We start from the raw sequence: 23,037 nt of genomic DNA, 5'->3' as shown, positions 1-23,037 counted from the left end.
GACCAGGCTAGTCTTGAACTCCTGGGCTCAAGTGATCTGCCCCCGTTGACCTCCCAAAGTTCTGGGATTACAAGCATGAGCCACTGCACCTGGCCTTGCCCTGTTCGTTTTCATATTCTCACAAACACTGTGACAAATTGTAGATGTGTGATAAATATGTATTAAAGTGAATTAAAATAGATTATCTCAATTCCCTTTTTAACAGTATGGTTATTATTGAATACCAAATATTTGAGTAAAAAGAAGTTATTTTCATTAGACCAAATAATATTTCTTGCCTGCTATAGAATATTATGAGAATTTTGAATTGTAAAGTAGGTGGTTTGGGAGATGGGAGGTTATTCTAAAATAATGGATTTAATATAAAAAGCCTAGGACTCTCATAAAAAAACTTAAAGAATTCAATTTTTTTCTTAATTAGAAAAAATTAAGAGATTAGAAGTTCAGTAATAGATTTTGCTTGATTAAAATACAATAAACATGAAAAATAAATAGATAGATAGTGTATCTTAGTTTGTTTGTTTATTTATTTATTTATTTATTTATTTATTTATTTATTTTGTAGCCCAGAGGTCCTTTATTTATTTTTTTTTTAACACCTATTATGCCATGAATTCATAGGGAATAGGTTCCAGCAGCTCAGGCTCCTTCCCATTGGTTCTCACAAAGTGTGCTTCTCTGGGTGGAGCAGGCTGGCACTTTAGTTGAACCCAGGTACCTTTCTCTTTGGCTTCTTTCTTTTTCTGATCATTTTCCTTCACACATTTCAGGAAGCTATCTCGGCTCTTAGAGTGCTTAATGTGCTCAATACGCACATTAATTCTCTTGGCAAGAATCTTGCCCTTAACTTGTTTGTTTACAACAATGCCAACAGCATGCTGGGTAAAACTCTTCCAGTTTTGCCGTGGTAACACTTGTGGGGCATTCCTTTTTGAACAGTGCCCATTCCCTTGACGTCTACAATATCACCTTTCTTATAGATTCACATATATGTGGCCAAAGGAACAACTCCATGTTTTCTAAAAGGCCTAGAGAACATATATCGGGTGCCTCTCCTCTTTCCCTTTGTGTTCATCATTTTGGAGAATTACTGGAAGATGGCGGTTCCAGCCAAAAGGCTGTATCTTAGTTTATTGCTCACATTTTGAACATGTCATGCACTTTAAATTTTCCTATCCATCCATACTTCCATATGTCTATTCAACCAGAAATATTTATTGAGTTCTTATAAAGGGCAAGTACTAAATATACTCTCCCCAGGTCTCATGGAATATTCAGTCCTATGAGATAGGAATAGATCAAATTAAGTAATGATACTATGTATATGTGGAAATGAGATTGGGGCTTGGAAGAAAAGAAATATTCTGGGGGAAGAAAAGTTCATCTCAGGAAGTGACATGAGTAGAGATCAGGGTGATTATGAGTTTATTCAACAACAAAGAGAGGACGAATATACAGACACAGGGAACTGCATCTGTCAAGATCCTGTTACAGAAGGAGACATGGCACATTTGGGGAACTGCAGCAGAGTGAGTGACAGGATTCCAGAGAGTGAGGCAAAGAAGATGTCAAGTGGGGCTTCCAAGGCAGGCAGGAGCTTTGACCAAAGAATCCCTTGAGTACTGATATGGTATGGCTGTGTCCCCACCCAAATCTCATCTTGAATTCCCACGTGTTGTGGGAGGGACCTGGTGGGAGGTAATTGAATCATGGGGGCAGATCTTTCTCATGTTGTTCTTGTGATAGTAAATAACTCTCAAGACATCCGACGGTTTTAAAAATGAGAGTTTTCTGCACAAGCTCTCTTTTTGCCTGCCGCCATCCACGTAAGATGTGACTTGCTCCTCCTTGCCTTCAGCCATGATTGTGAGGCTTCCCCAGCCACGTGGAACTATAAGTCCAATTAAATCTCTTTATTTTGTAAATTGCCCAGTCTCAGGTATGTCTTTATCAGCAGCGTGAAAATGAACTAATACAAGTACTTTCTGTTTTCTTATCTTTAAAGGAATAGAGAACACTAAAGAGTTTTAGATAGGGGTGAGGTAGGGAGGACACAATCATATTTGTATTTTGAAATAATCAATTTACCATCATTTTGGAGAATGAATTATAGTAGATTGGGGGAGACCTCGTAATGAACTACTACAGGTCTTCAGGTAGGACAGGTTGGCCGCTTGGGCTAGGTTAGCAACCATGAAGATGGAAAGAAGGGATGAAATTCGACAATATTCACAGTTAAAAGGCTTTGATGGGCCTCGGGAATGAATGAGAAATGTAGGCTGAGGAAGAGAGTTTCTGGTTTATATAACTGGGTGAATGATGACGCTATTCTACTAGATAAAAGGCACTGGAAGAGAACTGAGTTGTTTTCTCCTGTATATGGATAGAGAATCATACAATTGGTTTTGGTTTAGTTGTGTTTGAAGATATTTGAGGAAGTAGGTAGAAGTTTTGGTGGACAATTATACACATAGATCTGGAACTCAAGAAGAGAGGCCTGTGCTGAATCATTGGCATGTCAATAATGCTAAAAGTATGGATTGGAATAAAATCCCTAACCAATATTGTGGAGGGAAAGGAGGGTGAGAATCTGAACTTTAAGAAAAGAAAATATTTAATGCCTGTTTAGAGAAGGAGTTTTCCAAGAAGCATAGAGAGATTGACCAGGGAGGCAGGAAGAAAACTAGGATGAAAGAGTTCCAGAGGCCAATAGAAGAACATATCAAGAAGAAGAAAGTGGTTAACTCTATCAAATGCTGCTGAGCAGTCAATCAACATGATTTCATTGAATACTCTAATAATAGCCTTTTCCTTGCAGTGATCATGAAAGACACTAGATTTTTGCCTGAGTAAAAGGTTAAGGATGGAGACATTGAGATTAAAAGTTTGGCTTTGACAGAGAGGAAATGGAGGATGAGGCTTGATTGAGTGTTATTAGAATTCAGGGAGAGTTTTTATGAATATAAGGAATACATCAACATGTTTAAATATCAGAGGGAAGATTTGACTTAAGGAAGCAATGAAATATCCAGAAGATAAAAAAATATTAATATTCAGAGTTTCAGGGGTTTTAAGAAGTGGTGAGCAGGTGGGATCCAATGAACAGGTAAATGAAATGTCTAGCCTTAGGCAAGTAAATAAATAATATCTCTTATCAGAAAAAAAGATGGAATAGTTCAGAAACAGACAATGCAATATTTGTTATTGTGAAGGTAAAGACTTTTGTCTGGTTGTTTCTATTGCTCTGATAAAATAGAAAACAATTATCAACTAACAGCATGAGAGAAGAGGGGGTGGCTTGGAATTCTGAGGACAGTGAAGAAAGTGTGAAATAGTTGTTGTGAAAGTGGGAGAATGAGTTAAGTTGAGACATATGGGGAGCCCATTTGAAGTTGATGATTATGTCATCATGGAAGCAGTTTGCCTTTCTGTACCAAGTAGTAATTGGCTATAGGGAGTAGTTGTGGAGAAAGAAGATAACAGGGGTCTTTCAGGGTTGGTGTTTGGCTGAAAAAAGTGATGAACAGCAGTGAGCAAAGGATCTTGCCAAACGGACCCTAGGACCTCAGCTGGATGATGGGGAAAGTGAAAAAGTAGAAACTGGAGGTCTAGGAGAAGATAAAGGGTTTAATGTACAAGAAAACTTGTGATCTGAAAAACACCAGGAAGAACTGAAAAAATAGCTAGAAGGAGGGAAAGATGTAGTTATAGTTTAATACTTTTGAATTTGAAATTTTTGACAAGGAACAATTTCAGGGAGTGACCAGGTCCTGGGTGTGTCTATGGGAGCAGATAGCAAAACTGGAGTGAAAGAAAAAGTCATTGAAGATGAGATCACCAAAGACTGATACAGCCAGGATATGCAATGATATTGAAGCCACTCTGGATGATTTCACAGCTTGGAGTAGTGAGGAGGATTGTGATCAAGTAATAAAATCTTCGATAAATAGGCCTGAGTGACTGGTAGGTTGGTGTACCCAGCTGGAAGATAGAGCAGCATAATCCAATAGCACAGACCCCAAAATACCAGAGCTTTCAACATGGGAGAAAGACATGCATACTGATCTGTAGTAAGGGTGACAAATGTTCCAGTAATGACTGAAAGCACAGTGGGTATTACAGCGGAAAGGAGGGAGTTAACTCTACTTGGCAGGTGGGAACTCTAAAGAGGAACTCCAAAATGACATGAAATTTTAGCTGTTACTACTAATATGAACCATTGCTGTTAACATATTAATTATGATTCAAATGCCAATTTCTATAACAAGAAGTGTGTTCCTTATAATGTTTAAATCTAATTCCTGTAATGAAAACACTTAATTATCTCCAAACATATGTCCTCCTTTTGGCCCTGGAATTTTTCTTTTTCTTTCTTTTTCTGAGACAAGGTCTCATCACACTGTCACCCAGCCTGGAGTGCAGTGGTGTGAACACATTTCACTGTAGCCTTGACCTCCTGGGCTCAAGTGATTCACCTCATCCTCTCATGTAGCTAGGACTATAGGCATGCACTACCACACCCAGGTTTTTAATTTTTATGTTTTGTAGAAATAGGATTTCACTATGTTGCTCAGGCTGGTCTCAAACTCCTGGGCTCAAGTGAGCCTTCTGCCGTGGCCTCTCAAAATGCTGAGATTACAGGCATGAGCCACTGCACCCAGCCTGGACTGTGTCTTAAATGAACCACATCTTTAACCATATTGCACCACTTCTAATAGTTTCAAAGCCTTAGGATTTGGATGTTCAGTGCATTATTTCCAACACCATGAAGTAAGATAGCGAAGCTCCCAGAAGGGCTGGGCATGGTGGCTCACACCGTTAATCCCAGCACTTTGGGAGGTTGAGGCGGGCGGATCACTTGAGGTCATGAGTTCGAGACCAGCTTGGCCAACATGGCGAAACCTTGTCTGTACTAAAAATACAAAAAATTAGCCAGATGTGGTGGCAGGCACCTGCAATCCCAGCTACTCAGGTGGGAGGCTGAGGGATGAGAATCGTTTGAACCCAGGAGGCGGAGGTTGCTGTGAGCTGAGATCATGCTACTGCACTCCAGCCTGGTGATAGAGCGGTACTCCTTCTGTCTCAACAAACAAACAAAAAACAAATAAAAACAAGCAAGCAAACAAATAAACAAAAAACAAAGCTCCCAGAATATTCAGTGTCTATTAGGAGGATTGCTTAGGGAACAGCTGGGGGCATTGTTCAAGGCATACCTGTCAGAGGGAAAACTGTGTCTTCATCATTATCTAACCCTCACATGAAAGTTCTTTTCAATACCTTGTCTTCATTGGATGCACATGGTTAATGAGGAAATGCTTTGCTTGCTGCATTCGTCCTGCCATCATTATGGTTTCTGGCAAGTAATTTATTTAGTAGCTGTGTTGTTTCTGAGTATTATAGTCTTCTTTACTCACTCTTAATGTGTAAAGTGCTTTAAAAATCTTGCAACCATCAAAGTAAAAGATGCAGCTCAGTGCTTCACTCCCTGGCATTGCCACAGGGCTCAATAAACTATAGATCATGTAATAATTTCATTTAGCAGCACAATAAAAGTCAAATTAGTTTCCATGAGACAGTTATGTATGATAATCTGGATTACTGTGGCCTCCTACTGACTGTATTAGCATTGTAATGTTATTTCCGCTTCTGGGATTCTGGTGGAATTTTTTCTTCAGTTTATATTTATTGAATCATTATGAAAACTGAGTTCTCAATGTCTTGAAGAAAGAGATTTATAAAAAAAAATTAATGTGCAGTGATAATGATCTTAACTTCCAATGCATCACTTTTTTTCCTTTAAAGTAGCTACTTTAACTGCTGGGTTTTCAATGTACTTGAAAATGTGGCATTATGAGTTTGAAGCTGAAAACTAACGGCTAAAGCCTGTGTTTCTATCCCTTATGGCTAGCCTTTGCCAGAGTCTTTCTCATCTCCTACAATGGTATTCTCCAGGTATATGGCAACGGAGAGTCCACTATTCTGTCTGCATTTCAGAGTACTTGGCCATGATTGCCAATCTTCTATGTAAGTTCCTCCCATACTTCACTTCTGGGTTTTGGCACCAAAAAGAAAGAAAGAATGTAGGGGTGTGTGTGTGTGTGCACGCGTGTGTGTATGTAATACATATATACAACAGCTTCATGGTCAAGTATAGCCTGATGTATCCTACATGACAAATAAGAAATAGGTCACTTTTAATAGGATTAATCTGCCATGTCTTGATGTTTCTGAAACATTACATTCATACATCTCCTTAAGACCTTTGGTAATATATAGTTAGCTGTGTAGCTATCTTTCAAACTGACCTTTCTTTTAAATACTTACAGGACTTATCAGGATGCAGTTATTGCTGGAGAGGGTGACAATTAGGAGAGCATTCCATCTTAGGAACAAAAATGTGGGTCCTATGGAGTTTCAGTATCAGACTTATAAAACTCATAGACTCATATTCAGCCCACATTTAGTTAGTTTGTAACTTGTGAACATCAGGCCATTCTCTCTGCTTCTGCTCTTACCTAGGAGCTCCTGCTGGGTGGATTGCTTATCTCCACGCTTCGGTACATCCTTAAAGTGTTTTTTCACCCTTCTTACTTGCAGCTGACTCACTTCAGTTCACCAGACAGCATCGTCTCCATATCCTGTTATCTTAGAGCTTCCCTGTGTGTCCAACTCAGTGAAGTTATGCACCGTAGAACATCATTCAGGCTTGGGAGACAGGGCTCGGTAGCAGGAACCCACTCACTTTTTGGCATTTTTCATTAGGCATAGAGGAAACTAAAGCAGTAAAATGCACACTGTGTTTGCTACTCAAGAGATGTTTATGTTAGAAATGGAAGGACATAGAAAGTGGTAAAGGAGGGAAGAGAAGAAAGAAACCATGAAGGAAGGAAGAAAAGAGAGGAGAGAATTAAAGAGGGAAAGAGGAAAGGGAAAGGAGGGAAAACCAGAACAAATTTACAGCAAGAAACCTGACTTTATTCTTCATTTAAGATTTTACCTTCTTAGAGAACTTAACCTCCCAGAAAGAAAACACAACACAAAAAACAAAGCGACACAAGGGAGTGCTTCAGCACGATTCTGGAAAGTGTTTCCTTTACTCAAAATGTACATAGATAATGACAAAATTGATAAGAAAATATGATTGAAATCACATCATGAAATTAGTTATATTCAGTTTACTTAAAATTAAACACATAAAAAGAACATAAATACAAACTATATATAATGAGCAGCATTAATGTGAAATCTTGCTTTTTATTTTATTTTATTTTATTATTATTTTTTGAGACAGAGTCTTGCTCTGTCACCTAGGCTGGATGGAGTGCAGTGGCATGATCTCAGCTCACTGCAACCTCTGCCTCTTGGGTTCAAGTGATTCTTCTGCCTTGGCCTCCTGAATAGCTGAGATTACAGGCATGCACCACCATACCCAGCTAATTTTTGTATTTTTGGTAGAGATGGGGTTTCATCATGTTGGCTAGGCTTGTCTCAAACTCCTGACCTCAAGTGATCCGCCCGCCTCGGCCTCCCAAAGTGTTGGGATTACAGGAGTGAGCCACCACGCCTGGCCTGAAATCTTGCTTATTAATGACTGATGAAATTTATAGTCGGGGCATTTGTAATGAATTATCTTTGTTTTAGTCCATTCCAGACCTTATTCTGGTTCAGTTTCATTTGTCAATTATCTGTGCTGTCTTTATTTTTGCTAAAATGCACCATTTCCATGATTGTGGCTTTTAAAATAAATGCAGAGAATTCTCAATCTGCAATTGAAAAAAATCAGAATTTCAGGATAGCTATGCTTCATCAATTGTAAACTCATAGCCCTACTTACCTCTCTTCTGATTTCTTATTTTGTGCCAGAAGCTTTGTTTCTTTCAATGCCCTCACTACAAAATGACTGTTGCAGGTGCTCGTTATCATTAAATGACAACTCTGTCTCTGCTTTGCTCTGTGATGTGACGGTTGAAGACATTATACAAACTTCCTTGTCTTTTTACAGGCGGAAAATAATTTTCGACTTGAGTATTAATTGAAGAAAAAAAACCACCATTAAGCAGAAGTCAATGACTTGATGCAACTTTCCCTCCTAAATTGCTAAATTGCAAATTAATTCTTCTCCTTCCCTTTTACACATTTCCTCTCCACCTTCCAGTAAGCAGCTCTGTTGGCACCAGTGGTTTTTCTGTTCAGAATTTTTATGCCTCAAATTGTGGATTATCTTGCCTTGGGACAACAGTGATTTCATGTATAAGGCATGATGTGAGGTGCAATCCCATTGGTCTTTTAGGTAAAATAAGTTACTCAGAAGTCATAAAATGTGCCATTAATTACCATTAATGACAATTGACATTGGGTTCTGAGGATTTTGAGAAAGCTATGCAACAATTAGTCAGGATAAGGGATATATTTTTTTGTTGTTACTCTTCCAGATTACTCAAATTCTGCATTTCTTTTTTTTTTTTTAATAAAAATTCAAACTTGGTCATTTTAATTTCCTGAAACAATATGCTGAAACAGGGTTAAGGAGCATGTACATTCTAGAAAAAAATTAATTTGTTTTAGATTAATATGAATTCTGGTTTTTAATATTTCTGTCTGATTCTCCAAAATTCTTAGAAGATAAACACCTTGGATAGGGAAACGTTCTACCCCTGGAAGGAACATTTGAGATATCAAAACTGAATTGTTGTTCTAACCCAACAGTGGTCATTAGTATCACCTACTATATGAAAAATACACACTCTTGGGATTCTGTTTCCAGAGATTCCCATTCAGTAAGTCAAAGATTGAGCACAAGAGTTTGCATATTAAAAGAGTTGCACAAGTTATACTGATTCACATACTTCATTGATCATATTGATCATTTGCCTAAGTTTATAGCACTTACTATGAACAACTTATAGAATGGAAGCCAGGTATATTATATTCCAGTAATATTTCTATTGTTACTGAAGGAAAAATTGTGACTGTATCATCACTCCTGTGTTGTTATACCCTCAGGATGAAATATTAAGTCAAAGATAAAGACCCATGCACAGATTTGGACAGCGTTGGGGAGTCAAAGGATTTAATTGGTACAATCTAATGTGGTGCAAGTAGCATATATAATCACAGCCCTAATGGGAACACGGATTAGATGGTGAAGAGTAAGTTAACATCCAAGGAGAGTAGACAGAGAGGTAGAAGTCAAGGTAACTGTGAGGCACAAAATGCTACAGGGAATATCAAGGTGTTCAGATCAATATATGCAAGCAATACCCTTACAGCAAAATTCCATAAAACCAGCACTGTTGCTCCATCTGACCTGCATAAGTGCTTGTTGCTAGGGCAGGACCCCTTCCCTATCCCCACCCCCTATTCTTTAAAGGGACTGGTACAGCTTCTGATCTCAATTTGAGAGATTGCTACAGGATCTGTATATTGAGTTAGATTTTCACACATCAAACATCACGTTTGATCTCTGTTTACATCTTACAATACAACTAAACAATATTAAGAGTGAAAATTTGGAACAGATGAAGAAAATAACATTAACATTGTACAGAAAAGCGTAAAATAAGATTTTATAGTAGATGGTTCTAAAATTGGTACCTTAATCAGAACACATGATTCTTTCAAGGAAAATTGGTAAATTTTACTAATAGCCAAAAGTAATTTATAAAAGGTTTAGAAATCAACCATTAAAGGAAAGGAAATGAGAGATAGAGGAATGTCAGAGAACAGAACCCAACCAAATCACAGGTTCAAGCCTTCTACATTCGCCCATAGTAACCTGACAAACCAAACAGGTATTTTTACTAAATTAGAATGCCCTCACAGAAAAAAAAAATCATAAAATAAGGTATTCCGAATCAAGACCAAAGCTGTGAATTCATTGACTAAAATCTTTTATTATATTAGTCCTACACTAGGTGAAAGGGTTTCTGATTTTATTTTGTTGTAACCCTTATTGGGTCAAAATCAAATGGACAGCTAAAGCAGTTGTATCCAATTCAATTCAATATATAATTAAATGCCTATCTATTATATGCTAGTCACTTTGTTTGACATTAGAGAACACAGATGAATAAAATGATATTTCTTCTTTGAGGAGCTCTTAATCTGAAAGAAGAGACAGAATAGTAAACAATTAGCTGTGACATAACATGCGAACTGCATGACAGAAGCCTGATCCTAGTGCTGTGGAAATAATTAAACGTTGTCTAGGGAAGGGAAGGGAGGTGGGAAGGGAAGTCCACAGGGAGTGAGTGACATTGGAGACCTTGAAGGATGAAGGAGTTTCTCCAGGTGAGCACAGAGAAGAGAGGGAGGGAGAGGAAAACCTCAGCAATGGAGAAAGCACGGAGTGAGTAGAGCATTCCAGAAGTAGCAGCCCAGCATCTAGTGTGGTGACAGTGAGGGTTGAAAAGGTAGCCTGCGACCAGTTTGCAGTGGTTCTCTGTCTTCAGTAACCCCGGGGCAAGGTGTGGGGCACATGGGGGATGCAGAGTTGGAAGATTTTATCTGCATTCTTTCTCACTGCTAATAACACTGTGATCTTTGACAAGTTATTCTTTAATTGTGCCTCAGTGTCCTCATCTGAAAATTGAGAGAGATAAAAACAATTTCAAACTCATGGCATGGTTTTAAAGAGAGAGTGAAATGAAGAATTTAGAACAGGGCCTGTCACCTAGAAGTGAGACAGAAATAATATATGGTGGTCGCAAAATAACAGACAAATCCAGGCAACAGTTTTACATGATTAGAAAAAAAGAAGAAAAAAAAAACTGTTCAAATAACTGCACAAGCTAGAGGCTGATAAAACCATGAAAACCAGGGTGTGGACCAATCTGGCTAAAAACACTGGATGCAACATGGCCCTGGACTTAACCTAGATTTTCTCCCAGGACCTCATTATCCACTCATTAACATCCTAGATCACACACCACCCGTGCCATGACAGTTCTGGGAACACCCATATTTGGTGTAAAAATGGGTGGCAAAACAGTTCTGAGAAATCTGCACCTTTTTCCAGGAATCTCCATGAGTATTTCACCCCTTGGTTAAAGAAACCCATAAATCTAGAAGCCCCAGGCCCCATTGCCCAACTCTCTCTTGAGCACACCTACACTCCCCTTTCTTGAGTATGTACTTTTTGTTTTGCAATAAATCTCTGTACTTTCACTATTTTCCAATTTGTCCTTGAATGCCTTCTCACTACGGTGTCAAGAGCCTGGACACTGGCTGGTGTGAAGGTCCTACTGGTGTGTGGGGACCTTCCCTAGCTTACCAGTATCAGAAGTATACTAAATAATGTTAACTACTGTCAATATATTTTGGTGGTAAAGAACATGGAAGGCAAGATGGAATGATGATTAATGGCATGGACTCTGGTGTCAGACAGACTGGGGAAGTATTTATCACTTACCACCCATAGAACCTTGCCAGTGTTACTTAACTTCTCTGTACTTATAAATTACCAATCATTGTAAAGTATCACAATGTGGTTTTGAGGACCCACAGAGTCCAATACTTAGCAAAGCCCCCGCCACATAGGAAGTACTCAGTGAGGTTAGCTGCTATCCTTTCAGAGTCATTAAAGAAGAGGTGAGAGTCTGTGTGGGTTAGGAAGGAAATTAGATGTATTTGGCTCCTGTAGAAAAACATGATAAGAAAGCAACAATATGAGTAAAATGTAAATAGTTTAATTTGGCTTTGGGAAGCAAATGGCTAATGCTTTGTGGTGGTGATCGATGATGGTGGTGCTATGTGTGTATGCGTGTGTGTATTTCCTTAGAAAATACAGCTTTTAACTGTTTTTAAAATAGATGGTCATTTGCTTGGTGGATACACTGGCTTTGAGTCTTTCCATTCTTCCAAGTATAATTTCCACAATCAAGCAGAGCCAAAAATCTCTCTCAATGCAGTCAGAAGCAAGACTCCTGACTCTGAGCATTCAAAATGCATTTAGCCTATGAAGCTGTTTGGCATAGCCACTGATTTCAAATGGCAGAAGCCATGGTTTGCTATGACGGGAGAGGCAGCAGCATGAGGAATCTAGCCAGAATGCTATCTAGAAAGAAATCTAACTGGCATGCTAAACCATTTATGCGTTTGTTTGTTAAAAGGCACTTTAAAAATAATATATTTGAACTATCACAAATCATTCTTGATTATGATTAATCTGTTGTTTTTCAATTGAGGAAAAGGAGTTTCAGACAGGTTAGGTAAATTTGCCCAAAATTTCACAATAAGTCAATAGTGGACTCTGTTTGGTCACCACATTCTCTGTATACATTCTAAAACATCTTTCTACATGCCAAGTAAGGTGGTTGTTGTGGGCAGAATTATAACTTGAACCATATGTTTTCCAAACAGAAGTAAACCAAAATGCATTACTCAACCTTCCTGGTCATAACATTGATTTAAACGAGTAACTCTGACTGTGCTTTAGAGATGGTTTTACAGAAGCATCTTTCAGTTCATGTGTACATTTCCCTGGAACATTATTAGTAAAATTGATCACTTCTCAAATTTGAGAAAACAAAGGCAAGCCATGGACTCATGTAAGTAAAGCAGAAGGTTGTCACCTTCTTCAGTCTCATAATCCTACCCCATTCTCCAGAAGAGCAGGAACTGCCTTTAGACTCTCAAGACACTGATCAGCATCCTGCCTTGCCATTCTGGAATTGTTTCTATTCTGTCTCAGGGCATTGATCATTAAATTTGCTTCAATTGTCTGAATACCATGGCAAGACCCATTTCAAGTCTGATACATAAAATTCTTTAAGTTAAAAAAATTGAATTAGAAGATGTAGAAGTCTGTAGATGTGTGATGTGGATGTATATGTAGTGATATGGGCAGGCGATGCAAGGCTGAGGGAAGGGCAATTGCAGCTGCAAGCTTAATCTAATCTGCCAGCCCCCATTAAGACTCTTCCTCTTCCCTTCATTTCCAGGACCTGAAGCTCAGAAATATCAGGGTTAAGAGAAGCCAAAAATTTGGTGGCACAGGCGGAACATAAGAAGCAGTAAGGAAAGAGAAAGGAAAGTCATTCTTTTTTTTTTTTTTTTTTTTTTTTTTTTGCGTCAGGGCCTCCCTCTGTCACCCAGGCTGGAGTGCAGTGGTGCTATCATACTCACTACAATCTCTAATTCTTGAGCTCAAGTGATCCTCCTGCCTTGGCCCTCTAAATAGCTGGGAATACAGGCATGCACCACCATGACCGTCTAATATTTTAATTTTTCATAGAGACAATGTCTTGCTTTGTTGCCCAGGCTGGCCTCAAACTCCTGGCCTCAAGTGTCCCTGCTGCCTCGATCTCCCAAAGTGAGCCACCACACCTGGCCAAAAGTCATTCTGTTTGTTGTATTTTTATCCTTAAATTCTGTCTCTCCTCTGTAAACATCCTTGTATGATCATGTGATGGCCCACGTGTCCCCAGGCTCATTAGCCTATGCAACCTTTGTTTTGATATAAAGCAAATAAGTTGGTTTGGACTCTTATGCTATCGTCTATGGAAGAAAACCTACGATCTTATCTCTTTTTCCTTTGGGATGCCAGGTATTTTGGGAGGGTTTACAGTTTCTTTACCATTTTTTTCTCTCATCTCTTGTTTCTGATTCATCTTTGTTTAATTTTGACTCATTTTCTCTGTTCCACACCCCTTAGCTCTTCTCAAAGCTACATTTTGAGTGCTTAAAGTTTCTTTTTTCTTTTTTTTTTTTTGAGATGGAGTCTTGCTCTGTCGCCCAGGCTACAGTAGGGTGTAGTGGCGCAATCTTGGCTCACTGCAACCTCCGCCACCTGGGTACAAGTGAGATTCTCCTGCCTCAGCCTCCCGAGTAGCTGGTATTACAGGCGTGTACCACTACGCCAGGCTAATTTTTTTGTATTTTTAGTAGAGACGGGGTTTCACCATCTTGGCCAGGCTGGTCGCGAACTCCTGACCTCTGGATCCACCTGCCTCGGCCTCCCAAAGTGCTGGGATTACAGGTGTGAGGCACCGTGCCCGGCCAGGTGCTTAAAGTCTGTTAACTTTTAAAAATGTCACTCACACAACCAGCTGTGTCTAGCAGACTTTTTGATGAAGATCAAGAGTAATGAATGGGACTGCACGCAGTCATCATAGAGTCAACAACTTGAAATCGAGCATTACCGTGCCTTTTGTCATGAAATCCTCAGGCATCCTCACCTCCATCTCCTGGCTGTCTTAGCCCTTCAGATTCCTGGTCTTTGTGCAGGGCTACCCCTGGCCTCCTCTCGCTGGTTTTTGTGTCTTCTCCCCATTTATGGATCTTTTCATCCTCTCTTTCCAGCAATGCCTAGAAACTCATTTTTTCCTTTATTTTATTATGCAATGCTCTTTATCTTTCCCTTGGTCTTATTTCCCTTGTCTAGTTACCAAAATCTAAAATCAAAATGGCTCATTGAATCTTTTTGGTAAACAAAAGATTGCTCTCTCCTCAAACTAATTTTCCTGCCTTAAAACAATAAAGTCTTCAGGTAAAATCTTAGTTGGGATAAAATTCAGTAAAAATCTCTTCACAGCCTGTGGGGTTGAGGGGTAACACATTGGATTTAGCTCAGTAACCAGTGAACTAGCCTAAGCAAACTGTCAGGCCTCTGAGCCCAAGCCAAGCCATCGCATCCCCTGTGACTTGCACGTATACGACCAGATGGCCTGAAGTAACTGAAAAATCACAACAGAAATGAATATGCCCTGCCCCACCTTAACTGATGACATTCCACCACAAAAGAAGTGTAAATGGCCAGTCCTTGCCTTAAGTGATGAGATTACCTTGTGAAATTCCTTCTCCCGGCTCATCCTGGCTCAAAAAGCACCCCCACTGAGCACCTTGCGACCCCCACTCCTGCCCGCCAGAGAACAAACCCCCTTTGACTGTAATTTTCCTTTACCTACCCAAATCCTATAAAACGGCCCCACCCTTATCTCCCTTCGCTGACTCTCTTTTCGGACTCAGCCTGCCCGCCTGCACCCAGGTGATTAAAAGCTTTATTGCTCACACAGAGCCTGTTTGGTGGTCTCTTCACAGGGACGCGCATGAAACAAAGCATACAAAGAAAATATTGCCTACTTTATTTTATTTTTTTAAAACAATTTAAGTCAGAAAACATTAAAATCTACTGGGGAAATTTATGTAAATTTGCTTCTCTTATTGTAAGAACCAAAGGTTCAAAAGTACTTCCAGGCCAGGCAAGTGGCTCATGCCTGTAATCCCAGCACTTTGAGAGGCCGAAGCAGGTGGATCATGAGGTCAGTAGTTTGAGACCAGCCTGGCCAACATGGTGAAACCCCATCTCTACCAAAAATACAAAAATTAGCCGGGCGTGCTGACACACACCTTTAGTCCCAGCTACTCGGGAGGCTGAGGCAGGAGAATTGCTTGAACCCAGGAGGCAGAGCTTGCAGTGAGCTGAGATTGTGCCACTGCACTCCAGCCTGGGCGACAGAGTGAGACTTCATTTCAAAAAAAGAAAAAAGAAAAAAATAAAGTGCTTGCTTCCAAGCTTTGTGTGTTTTGAAAGTTTCCATGAAATACATCTTGTCCAATTTAACGTTTTTCTAGGGTTTTGATGTGACATGTGTCCAAAAAAATATTTGCAGCTACATTTGTCACGAATATATAAGGAATACAAGAACAATGGCAGGGCGTGGTGGTTCAAGCTTGTAATCCCAGCACTTTGAGAGGCTGAGGCAGGAGGATTGCTGGAGCCCAGGAATTTGAGGCTGCAGTGGGCCAAGATTGTGCCACTGCAGTCCAGTGTGGGTGACAGAGCAAGACTACTCTGTCTCTTTAAAAACAAACACATACACACACACACACACACACACACACACACACACACACGAAGAAGAAAAGAAAAGCGGTTTCAAGCAGATCAGTAGCTCTGAATCTACATTCAGTTCGGGGCAATCCCCTGGACAGCTGTGCTGCAAAATCCCATTAAGACCCAGAAGAGGGAATCTCAACAACTGATTTGAAAAGGTTGGGCAAATAGGAAACATTCACACATACAAGAATGTCAGTTCTTACAGTCAACTAAGTATTAGGTTGGTGCAAAAGTAGGCTGGGCGCGGTGGCGCATGCCTGTAATCCCAGCACTCTGGGGGGCCGAGGCGGGCGGATCACGAGGTCAGGAGATGGAGACCATCCTGGCGAACACGGTGAAACCCCATCTCTACTAAAAATACAAAAAAAATTAGCCTGGCGTGGTGGCGGGCTCCTGTAGTTCCAGCTACTCGAGAGGCTGAGACAGGAGAATGGCGCGAACCCGGGAGGCGGAGCTTGCAGTGAGCCCAGATGGCGCCACTGCAGTCCAGCCTGGGTGACAGCGAGATTCCGTCTCAAAAAAAAAAAAAAAAAAAAAAGGAATTGTGGTTTTTGCTATTACTTTCAAATGGCAAAATCCACACTTTTGCACCAACCTAACAGATGGGAAAGCAGGAGCTTTTTTGTCCTAAAAATACCTCAGAACTCACCTTGCCCATGTACTCAGCTACGCACAATTCTAGTGGTTCAGAGAGTCCCGCTTTGTGGTGCACTTTCATTCTGAAAGACTTTGGTGAGTCAGAAGAGCAACTTGTTTGAAGCATACTCCAAAAACTCAAGAAATCTTGCTATTCCGAGCATGGATGCCCCTGTAACCTAATATTTCTATTGAATTTATAGACTGGTATTATGAATACGTGTTGGGTAGTGGGGCACGCGGCTGGGTTAAGGGTTCTTTCAACTATTGATCTCAGCACAATAAACAGTAAGTGGTGCCACTGGAAATTGGATTCTTATGTGATGGAAACGTGCTGAGTCATCAATTACAGTTTACCCCATGTGTTTCAGGGACATTTATAAAGCTGTGGGGCTAAATCAAATCTGACTTGGAGAATGTACAGAAAATATTTGCAGAAAGCATCGGTGGGGGCGGGGGCGTCGTCAAAAATATGACTTTAAAAAGCAGTGTTTAGGGAGTTTCTGGAATAATGCCGGGCAAACCACAGAGATGTCTAAAGCCACTTTGAGTGTGCCGAATTGACTTCCTAAAAATTAAATGCAAAATAGATAATTTTAGTAATGCAAAATATAACAAGGACACAAAATAGGTTGTGTGCTCTAATGCCTGTATATAGCTTTAAAAATAATCCCAAATGCCAGGCAAATAAAATATGCCCCTTATACATATATTGACTCCTATTAAACTAGGGAGAATAAAAAAATAACGTCATGGTTTGGTAACGAGTAGATTTTTAAAAATGCTTGATAAACTATGCTAAGCAAGAAACTGGCAGATAAATGCTGAGATACAAAAATCTAAAGATGCATGGAATTCTTTTTTCTGGAGATGGAGTCTCACTCTGTCGCCCAGGCTGGAGTGCAATGACGTGATCTCTGCTCACTGCAAGCTCCGCCTCCCGGGTTCACGCCATTCTCATGCCTCAGCCTCCGGAGTAGCTGGGACTACAGACGCCTGCCACCACGCCCGGCTAATTTTTTGTATTTTTAGTAGAGACGGGGTTTCACCGTGTTAGCCAGGATGGTCTCGATCTTCTGACCTAGTGATCCACCCGCCTGCCTCTCAAAGTGCTGGGGTTACAGGCGTGAGCCACCGCGCCCGGCCAGATGCCTGGAATTCTTAAGTGATTAATGATAAAGGTTAGGATTTAGAGCTGGAAATGAATAAGCATTTACTAAAAGATGTAGGTATTGATGATGTAAATTTAACTGAGGCCTCAAATTTGAATGGAAACCCCCCCATGGAGAAATCTGGCTTTGTTGTAAATATTCTGTTAATTACCCTTTCTGGTCTATTGAGGAATAGACCATGATAAATGCAAACAGTGATCGAAGTGTTGCAATGCATTTGTAAACTTAACCACACTTTATGATTTATCACCACATTTTAAGGCAGTGTGTTTCCTTTCTGTATCATCTCGCCTTGTCATGGAATGTAAGAAATCCCTGTGGGGTGGCCAATGCAAGTGTAAAGCACTGAACTTTGAATGAAGAAATCCATAGTTTAGACTTCACTCTTCCATAACTAGATGTATGACCTTGGGCAAGCCATTTAATTTCCCAGGATACTTAGACTAAATAGTATTAATAATTCCAGTTTACTATATGCCAATACTCTGCTAAATACATTCTTATACCATTAATAACCCTTTGAAGTAAATATACTTTCATCGACACAGAGAAAAAAAAAAACAGAGTTTTAGAGATGTTAAGAATATTGCCCAAGGTTGCAGGGCTAATAAAGAGAAGAAATTGGATTTTAATGGAGACCTTTTCATTCTAAAACTTATGTTCTTACTCAATATGCCATGGTGCCATTCTAAAAATACATGCATTTTCCAAGTTAGCTTGATAACATAATGGTTAGGAGCATAGATTGGAATCCAGAAAGCCAGAAAGCCTGAGTTTTAATCCTGGTTATTGACACTTACTAGTTTTGTGACTTCAGTGGTCTACTTACCCTCTGTGTATCTGAATGCTCTCATCTGTAAAATGAAGATAATAATAGTATATCTCCCTTACAGTAGTTAGAAATTAAAAGTAAAACATTTAGAAGAGTGTCTGATGTATACATTATAAATATTACTATTTACTATTATTTTCCCTCATACAAAGTGTATAGATATATACTGAGAAAAATGTGAAAATACAGTGGGATGAGAGAACAAATATTTATTAATATCCTAATACAGTCAACAAACCTGTCCCAGGTTTTAGGAAATGCAACATTAAAAAAAAAATTGACAGATTCTGTTGTAAACAGCAGGCATTCCACAGAGTGAAAATTCTTGCCTTCTTGGTACTTCTCTAAATAAAGTCTCCTGGAAGGTGCTTTTTGCTTAAAGAAACTGATATCTATCACATTGCACTCTCCTTTATCATAGGTGACTAAGATGTCAGGCAAAGCATTTTTTTTTTTGGAAACTATTAAGTGATAAATTACTGGTAACTTAGTTTTCTGATTATTCCTTTTAAAATGTATTCTTTTATGGATTTAAAGATATTATATTTTTATTTATTATGACTTATTTCCTTGTGGCCTGGAGAGGATGTATTAATACTTCATGAGAACTTATTTATAAAGCTTCAAAGCCAAAGGTTTTGAGTTTGAGACTTTTATGTAGTACAAGAATTGGTGTCTGAACGATGGAAAGGTTAATTTCACTAGTGGAAAGTAGTTTGTACTTAAAATAAAAAAATTAGTAATTTAATAGGTGACATTTTCCACCCAATTATTGCTAAGGTCTGATTAGAAGCTATGATATTTGAATACTTGGTAAAACATATATTTTCCAGAAACCCGAAGTATTCTCTGATAACAGTATGTCAGAGATATAGAACTTAAATGCCAGATGAAATCAAGTGAAGCATTTCTGAATTTGCCTAAGGTTACAACCTGAAACAGAGCTAAAATCTGGAAATCATTTCTGGATCAAAGTCTAGTAAATCACTAAAATCCAGCTGCGTATCACACGTTGTATATAGTGTGAGGGTAGAGAGAGGAATTCAATAAGTCAACAAATGTTTATTGAATGCCAATGTATGTCAAGCATTTTCTTTCCACTTGTCACAAAGCAACCTCAGAGTTCTGCATGTTATCACTACTTTTAGTTTGCAGAAAAAGAATCATATTGGGGTTTGGATTCAGCAAATAGTCACCCTTTCTCTGTCCTACTGTGGGTGGAGTACATTTTCCTACTTCATTGATGAGAGTGGGCTGGGCCATGGACTTGATTTGGCCAAAAGGTGTGGTAAAACATGATTCAATCTGAGACTTGAAATGTGCTTCTCCATTAGAGCCATCTCTCTGGGTTTTTGCCATTGCTAAAAAAACAATGTGACCTTGGCAGCCCATTTGTCCACAAATAATTGTAGACATTTTGAACATAGCTACCTTAGGTGCCTGTTCCTGGAATCCTTGGTAACTGAGACAATCTAACCAATCTGAAGACCTGCAATTTGAAACAGATTCACCCCAATTTACCAAAAGACTTTTGAGCATAATAACCAGCTTTGATTGGTGCATACCACTGAGTTTTGGGGTGTTTTTAATGTAGCAATAGCTGACAGATACAATTATGTTGGCCGAAGCCACATAGCTAATAACTGGGGAAAGAGGATTCTTGCTTTCACATTGCTTAACAATCTAGTCAGTAAAGGAAGATAAACCCAGAGCAATAGACAGTAATTGATAATCTAAATTGTACATTTTAGACAATAGGATCTCTTAGAATTTCCACAGATGAAAGATTACTGAGAATTGGAATGTAGATACAGATAATGTCTCTACTGAGGACACAAGGATTGTCACTTTAACATAGGTTTAAAAGCTCTAAAGGGCAAGTATGTTTGACAATTACCATCATGCCAAAATCCTGAACCAATGACATGGGTCCTAAGGCTATTAAGATGCTCTTTTCTGCAGTGCCTGGAAGAAATCTCAACAATCCTTGTTAAAGGAGTACTCTAGGGAGTGACAATCAATTGATAAAAGCTGGCATGCGAGCCAAAATCTGTGTTTCCCTTGATCTTGGCAGAAAATCTATCAAGAGATATTAATATGTTGGGGCTCATGACATAATACTCAAAGTTTGGTGCTCTGGCCTGCTAAATAGTTAAAATGAAAAGAGATTAGAAGGGCCTGAGACCTCTCTGACTTTCTCTTGCTCTCCTGTCTCTGACCCCTCATTCTCTCCCGAAGCCAATTATAGAAACCAGAATCCCTCTTCCCCAAGGTGGGTCATAGAGACTAGAACCCTTTCCTCCAAAGGAAATCATAAACCTAGAAAGGCCATTCTCTTCCTTCTCCCTTCTCCCTTGAATCTCTCATTCTAGAGAGGTCCTGCCCTCTACCCAGGAGGAAAGAACGCTACACACAGCAGCCAAGAAGAATCTGAACAGACAGGCCTTGGTGGGGTTCCCCACTACCTCCATCTATTACCATTAGGTCATATTGATTTTTCCAATCACATTTTTACATCACTGCCAGGCAGTTTTGCTTGGGCCTATGGGTATTCATTTCTGAAGGCTCTTGTGTCACATAAAATTTTGCTTAAATGAATTTGTTAAGCTTTTCTCTTGAGAGCCTGTCTTTTGTAATATACCTGTTGGCTGTGACGCTTATGATGGGTGAGGAAAGGGATCACATCTTTCTAACCCTGCAGTTTTGGCACACAACTCAGGGTGGCTGAGACACGTGACTTGCTCCAGAGCCTGCAGATGAGAATCTGGAACAACTGACGAAAAGCCAGGCAAGAAAAGGTAAGAACTTTTTACTAAGGTCAGCTCTCCTGGATCTCAGACTGAGTGCCTGATTGAGAATGGAAAGTAAACATTTCTCTTTATCCCTCCCTTTCTAAATTCAGGTTAGCTGGAGAAAATCATTTGTTTGGATTGTGAGTCTTTTGTAAATCTGGTTTTGGTTTGGGGATACCCATTTCTTGTTGGTCCTTTCCCTCTCAGGGACAGCTTTTTCTTTCTTGTTTGTCTCATTTTGTGTCCTGAGAGTTTGGCGTTGTGACCAGTGAGAACACACTCTGATTTCTACCAGGTAGAGGACAATATTTTACAAAATATCTATTTAAAAATTGTTTCAAAAATATATTTGGTAACTTACAACCTTAAAGTGAAATTAACAGATAGTCATTATCGGGGTCATTTCTAAGTAAGTTAAAATACTGAAACATAAATTGCTAAGCATAAATTTAAGTTTATATATGTTGGCATCCCTTGTTTTCATATGGTATATGGAAGCTAAATATATTTGGTTCTATTAATAAAAATTGAGATAAAGTGAGTTTCTAAAAATTATAAAATAGTGAATGCTGATGTAATACAGTTCACAATCCGTGCTAGCTTTCACTAGAAGTAAAGATAACTAAGAGTTAAGTATTACAATTAATTAATGTGACTACATTACTAGAAATTACAAGGGAAACAATTATGTATATGAGAAAAGTAAGGTGTATTTGATAAGGAAAAGTATGAGGAATGAGTTTTCTTCAAAAAACAGAGCTGATTATATGAAAAAAGGTTATAAAAGGTTTGTGTAAATCTTATATTGTGTGATTAAAGCTTACTGAGATTGAATGAATTTATTTAAAAGATTTCATTAAAAATTAGCCTTTAGTATTAATATTACACAGATGCAGAAGTCAAACTTAGTGTGTTAAAATGGAGTATTGGTCTGAAAATTTAGTTTTCTTTTTTTACAAGCTGTTGCTTAGGAAACAAATATGTGTTTTATTAATTTTTTTGTAATTATTGTTATCTTTTGTCAGGCCTTTGATTACTTAAGAAAAGTGAGTCTTCTTAATGTTAAAAGAGGTAAGTTGCTTTTTGCAACTATGTGACCTTCTGTTTTTGCCTTTAAAATATTTTGCTGTTGCTTTGATTAAATAGGTGAACAAGAAGACCCTATCTAATTGTTTAAACCTACTTATATTTTTGACAAACTTCCCTTAATCCTATTCTAAACTTAGTCTTTTGACCTTGAATTATCTTTGGAATTTCCCAGTTTTGCCACTGAAAAGCTGAAAGGATGTCTGTCTCACCTTGTACAAGAGCAATAGTAAATGAATTTGGCTTATTTATATGTTAAATTATGTGAGAAACATTGCCAAATAAGTGATGCCTGCCATTGATATGAGTATTTCAAAGTTTATGTAAAATTCCTAGGAATCTGATATGTTATCAATCATAATTTTGGTTATTATGTTAAAATGTTATATGCCATGAAAATAACCAAATTTCCTCATGAGTTGCACCATTAACTTGAGAAACTCATCAGATTTTCAACCAAAGTCATTCTAAATATTTGTAATTCAGTTATTGTTTTCATTCTTTTTAAAAAGCATTCAGTCAGCTGCAGTACGAAATAGTTTGATGATCAGTTTTTGGCTTGGCTTCCTATCCTTGAGAGGCTTCTTAAAAGTTTAATCTGAAGTTCCTTATGAAAATTTTCATCAAAGCAAACTTAAAGAGATCCTGTGTGGTCAGTCACTATTCTTGCTGTACTTATAT

At 38.8% G+C, this 23,037-nt stretch overlaps 1 long non-coding RNA gene and 1 pseudogene across 1 annotated transcript in view, besides 2 other annotated features; both read right to left on the bottom strand.

The window, feature by feature from the left end:
* RPL21P80 (ribosomal protein L21 pseudogene 80) lies at nt 558-1,118 on the bottom strand (annotated as a pseudogene).
* LINC01288 (long intergenic non-protein coding RNA 1288) overlaps nt 10,440-23,037 on the bottom strand; it is an 80,878-nt gene continuing 68,280 nt past the window's right edge. Inside the window, exon 4 of the long non-coding RNA NR_125746.1 lies at nt 10,440-10,581. This is a non-coding gene — a long non-coding RNA (long intergenic non-protein coding RNA 1288). The remainder of the gene's footprint in view (nt 10,582-23,037) is intronic.
* Nucleotides 14,392-15,381: an enhancer, noted in NCBI's record as "OCT4-NANOG-H3K27ac-H3K4me1 hESC enhancer chr8:34717375-34718364 (GRCh37/hg19 assembly coordinates)". NCBI's record gives its function as "activates a minimal SCP1, AML or CMV promoter by ChIP-STARR-seq in naive H9 embryonic stem cells {active_cell/tissue: H9 hESC(naive)}" and the evidence as "EXISTENCE:reporter gene assay evidence [ECO:0000049][PMID:30033119]".
* Nucleotides 17,115-18,314: an enhancer, noted in NCBI's record as "P300/CBP strongly-dependent group 1 enhancer chr8:34714442-34715641 (GRCh37/hg19 assembly coordinates)". NCBI's record gives its function as "activates an origin of replication core promoter dependent on BRD2, BRD4, P300/CBP, MED14 and CDK7 cofactors, with strong dependence on P300/CBP, by STARR-seq in HCT116 cells {active_cell/tissue: HCT116}" and the evidence as "EXISTENCE:reporter gene assay evidence [ECO:0000049][PMID:35650434]".

This window comes from Homo sapiens, chromosome 8 (assembly GCF_000001405.40).
Source record: "Homo sapiens chromosome 8, GRCh38.p14 Primary Assembly".
In the NCBI taxonomy this organism is placed as follows: Eukaryota; Metazoa; Chordata; class Mammalia; order Primates; family Hominidae; genus Homo; species Homo sapiens.
The sequence above is the reverse complement of the archived record's forward strand: the minus strand, read 5'-3'. Positions and strand labels throughout refer to the sequence as shown.